The sequence below is a fragment of the Homo sapiens genome, chromosome 6 (genome assembly GCF_000001405.40).
Source record: "Homo sapiens chromosome 6, GRCh38.p14 Primary Assembly".
In the NCBI taxonomy this organism is placed as follows: Eukaryota; Metazoa; Chordata; class Mammalia; order Primates; family Hominidae; genus Homo; species Homo sapiens.
Genome location: NC_000006.12, coordinates 164,079,273 through 164,084,297, shown reverse-complemented (window position 1 = coordinate 164,084,297; position 5,025 = coordinate 164,079,273). Strand labels below are relative to the sequence as shown.

At 52.8% G+C, this 5,025-nt stretch overlaps 1 annotated feature.

Moving 5' to 3' along the window:
* Positions 3,946-4,447: an enhancer, noted in NCBI's record as "H3K4me1 hESC enhancer chr6:164500883-164501384 (GRCh37/hg19 assembly coordinates)". NCBI's record gives its function as "activates a minimal SCP1, AML or CMV promoter by ChIP-STARR-seq in primed H9 embryonic stem cells {active_cell/tissue: H9 hESC(primed)}" and the evidence as "EXISTENCE:reporter gene assay evidence [ECO:0000049][PMID:30033119]".

Below are 5,025 nucleotides of genomic sequence, written 5' to 3'. Positions count from 1 at the left end.
GAAAGAAGAGACAAAGAGGAAGGCGAAGGCAGGCTCTGGAGAGGACATGGACTCTGAGGCGGGTCTGGAGATTGTTCATGGGCACAGAGTAACAGGAATGTCCCACACTCAGGTGCAGGGTGACTGGGTGTTGAGCGGGCTGGACTCACTGACTGGCACACTATCCAGAAAAGGCTTTGTGCTTCTCCTACACATGAGCTGTGGGATCCCCACTCCTAGTCCTTGGATGGGGCAGATGCCATTACTTTCCAGTCATTAAACGTTAGGACTCTTTATTTAGTTTTCTCTCTCTCTCTCTCTTTTTGATGGAGTTTTACTCTTGTTGCCCAGGTTGGAGTGCAATGGCACGATCTCAGCTCACTGCAACCTCCGCCTCCTGGGTTCAAGCGATTCTCCTGCCTCAGCCTCCCAAGTGGCTGGGGTTACAGGCATACACCACCATACCTGGCTAATTTTGTATCTTTAGTAGAGACAGGGTTTCACTATGTTGACCAGGCTGGTCTCGAACTCCTGACCTCAAGTGATCCACCAACCTCGGCCTCCCAAAGTGCTGGGATTACAGGTGTCTTTAGTTTTCATATGATAAAATTTCTACTCCAATTGAGACCTAAATTTCAGTCTCTCGAGTGGTTCACATTATCCTGGAGTTTTGCCCAGAGGTCATGTCATTGGTGGTTGGGGCACACTGATTTGGCAGTCAGGTGGCCATACACAGGGGCTCTTTTAGAGGCCCCTCTGGGATTTTTGGAGACCGCTTCAACGGTGTCTGTCCCACCTGATCTCCAGTCCAGGAAATGCATTCTCAGCAGACTCCTCTCTCGCCAGTGCTGCCTCTACCCAGCAGGGTGCTGTAGCCTCCAGCCTGGGACCCTCCTTCCGGCAGGTGGTCCTCTTGGACAGGGTGTCTCAAGAGGCCTCCACACCAGCCATCTTCTGCAGTCTGCACTTGACCAAGAGATGCCCCACAACCTTACCCCCACAAGGTATCAGAATAGGCCACCCCCTGCCCCCCGCATCACCCCCTCTCTGTCTGCATGAGCCAGCCTCCCTCTTAAGCATTCTTGAGGTGAGACTGAGGAACCAATGCCTAATTCCATGCATCCCCCTCTCTGGGGCACTGCCTTAGACTGGCACATGCACTCTGCCACTTTGCCCCTCCTCTGGGGGACCCTAGAGGGGCCTAAGGATTCTGTAGTTGAGCAAGCTCTCCAGTGTATTGTGAGAGACCAGTCTCTTCTTGACGCCATTTCCACACTGTATGGTTATGTTCTCTTGCTGTCTCTTCCCACCCTCCCCTCTTGCATTCAGCTTGGACAGAATTGGAAAGAAAGAACATCCTGACTCCATACCTTATAGGAAAAAAGAGAGAAAATGCTCAGCTCACACTCACACCTTCAGATTCCCTGGCTGAGATTCCCCCTCCACACATCCAATTTTCCTTGGGGAGGGTATTCAGGATGATGCTCATGGAACCTTCCTTTCCCTGCTCCATTTGTGACAGGCTCCCCTCTTTAGAATGTGAGAGTTTTTATTGTCTGTTGTTTTCAGCTCTAGGGCTTCAGCTGAAATTCTGAAACACAGGACTTCCACTTAAAGTGTGGCTTCTCCAGGATCACATCAGTTGTTAACCACATGCGGAAGATGCCTTCACCCACACCCCAGTTCATTCCGTGTGAACCATTTTCTTTTCTTAATAATCAGCTCAACTTTCTCCCTCCCTATGGTGGCTGGGGTTTTTTTTGTTTCTGTTTTGTTTGTTTTGTTTTGTTTTTGTTTTTGTTTTTTTGAGATGGAGTTTTGCTCTTATTGCCCAGGCTGGAGTGCAATGGCACGATCTCGGCTCACTGCAACCTCCGCCTCCTGGGTTCATGTTTTTTTTGGTGTTGTTTTTTTGTTTTTGTTTTTGTTTTTGTTTTTCATTTGTCTACCCATCACCTTTCCTTCTTGAGACAGTATCCGGATTTTCCTTTGGGGAACTGTGCCTCCCTCCACCTCAATCCATGGGGTTCGGTTGGGGGTTCCAGCCTCCAGGCTTGCCCATGTGATCCAAAGGGGTCCGCGGGCTCCCTAAATACATAATGGGCCCAGGAGCAGCCGTCGTGTGGACCCACTTGGTCCGGTCTGAGTGGCTCTCTGGGCTTCCACGAGAGCTCCTGGGGACAGGCCCTATTATGTTGTTGTCAGCACTGGGGCTGGTGGACGTAGTGGCAGCATGTCACCCTCCACCTGGGGCCAGAAGAAAGCCCACAAGAACACAAACAGAGGAAAGGGGCGGGCCCAGAAGAACTTTTCAGTCCCTGAATCAACCTGTGCCTGATCCACCCTCGGGCTTTTCAGAAACATGAACCAACAAATTCAAACCCCCACAGTTTTTTGTCATGAAGCCAATTTTAGGCCAACTCTGTATCAATGGAACATATTTTCCAACTTTACCCTATGCAAATTCTCAGTCATTTTAAACTCATCTTTCACCTTTTCCCTTAGTATGCAGTGACTGAATTCTGTCGTTTTTTCCTTTGGAATATCTGGGACAGCTGTTCCTTTCTCACTGTTCTCTATTTCCGCCATCACACTCCTCCCATTTCCTCAGCAGGACCCTCGCCAGTGGCTGTAACTGCCTCTAAACTGCCTGCCTGACTGGAATCCATCCCCCGCACCATGGGAAGATCGTCTCTTCTGAGATACTTACTTCACGTACTCCAGATCCTTCCCTGGCTTTTTTTTTTTTTTTTTTTTTGACGGAGTTTGCTCTTGTTGCCCAGGCTGGAGTGCAGTGGCTCACCACAACCTCCGCCTCCCATGCCTGACAAGGAAGACCACATGCTGAGTGGAAGGTGGGGGGCATGCATAGTGCCTGGCACCTGGTGGCACCCCTGACTGAGTGTCTCACTGACAGGGACTTGAGGAACTGTCTTGGGGAAGGGAAGATCTTTGCTTTTGTGATGACACCAACGTATGAAAGACGTGCAGGGCCCAGTGGAGTTGGCTGGCTTTTATTCAGCTGTAAGGATGACCTGCAGATGGGCAATTAGAGGATGCGTGTGAGAGCCAGGAGACCTCTTGGGTAGCTTGCTAAGAGTTTCTGCAGTGGAACAGAAGACGCACCTCAGGGCTTGAAGGCTAGAGTTGCAGAGCTCCAGAGATGTTTACGTGCTCAGTCAAGTCAGGGGTTATGCTAAGGTGGATGTCTTGGTTGGGAAAACCTAGAGAATCTTAAAACATAGGATTGGGACGTCTGGGTGAATGGCCCTGAGCAGCTGAGCTCTGCTGAACCCCTGCAGTCTCAAAGCTCGCAGTCTTTGCTGCCCTCCCTAGCAAGAGCTGACATGCTGCCCATGGGAACTCACTGCAGAGGTCTCTCCCTGCAAAGCAAGGAGTGCTGGTCCCAGAGGAGCTGCCCTCACACCTGCTCTGACTGCTGAGTTGATAACAGCCAAACTTGTCTTGAAATGATGCAGCCCGGATGAGCCACACGGGACCCTCAGGCAGGAGCTGGCTGATGAGGATCTGTGGGCACGGGTTTGCCTTTCTTGTCGGCATAGCATCACCCAGCGCCAAGTGACACTGACTTACACCTGACCGGAGGGCTCTCCTCACAGCTACGGAGGTGGAAGGCAGCCCCATGACCATGGAATCCATTGGTTATGTTACATCCCACGTTACCCAGCGACAGCGGCCCCCCAGAGCTCTGGAACAGCCTGCTTCAGGCACTGTCACAGAGCAGCTTGGAGACAACAGCCTGCAAGGACATAGTGTGTGCACTCAATCAGAGCCCTCCTTATGCCAGTGAGTCCTGGGTAGGGGGAACACCTGGGTTGGGGAGCGAGCAAGGGGTGAAAGCAGGCATGGACCCCCTCACATCACTCCTCTTGACCAACTGAAGGAGATCCTACCTCCCGCCTCCGCAGCTCTGGGATCTGCAGGATGGGAGGGCCAAGCCCCTCTGCCACAGCGGTGGCTCCTGTCTTGTTGCTGCGTACTGCTCGTGTCCAGGGACGAGCCGTGAGAATTGGAGCCACCGTCTTGGTGAGGGCATGGCCTTGCCAGCAGGAAAAGAGCTGCTTTTCCACAATGGGACAGGGAAGAATGCACACGGGAGTCAGGCAGCCCCTCTGCCATCCCAAACAACTGCAGCTAGAAATATGCAGCAGCCCTGGCCTGAGAAGGGATGAAAGCTGAGGGCCCACACTGCCCACACCACCAGTTGTGCCCCTGTGATGGGTTGAAGTGTGTTACCCAACAAGATGCATTCGTGTCCTAACCCCTGATGCCTGAGGATGTTATCTGACTCGGAACAGGGTCTTTATAGATGGAATGAAGTTGAGATGAGGCCTCGAGGATGAGCCCTGATCTAAGATGACTGGTGTCCTCATGAGAGGAGGAGAGACAAAGCCATAGACAGAAGACAGAAGAGGCTGGAGTGATGCTGCCACCAAAGGAGGATCCTCCCACAAAGGCATCTGAGGGAGCCTGGCCCTGCTCACACCTTGGTTGCAGGCTTCTGGCCTCCAGGACTGCGAGGGAGTCACTGCTGTTTTAAGCCACCAGCTTGTGGGGCTTTATTATGGCAGCCACAGCAAACTGGTGCAGCCACTAAGACCTGAATAAGTGGCAGCTCCATAGAGGATGGTGGGCTCAGGTGGTCCCCAAGGCCAATGTGTGGCAGGCAGTGGTTGTCCCATTATCCTGTCTCTTCTGTGTTTCCCTTCTGAAAGAGGCTCTCAAGCACTGGGAGTGGTGTCCTCACACACATGCAGGAGGGGTTCTGTGTGGCCATGGAGGGCACCTGCCATGGGGACCCAGGTGACAGATGGCTCCCACTGCAGCCGTCTTGCCAAGACCATGCATCCCCTGGGCTGTCCCCGGCACTGAATGAGCACAGCTGGGCACTGGGACCAGGTCACTTCTGCCAAGCACAGGTATCCTCTACTGCTGGACCTTGGCTCGGGGGTGCGCCCATGCCCCGCTAAGACTTTCTTAGGTGGTGCTGCCACCTGAGCTCTTCCACCCAGTACCCCGTCTCTC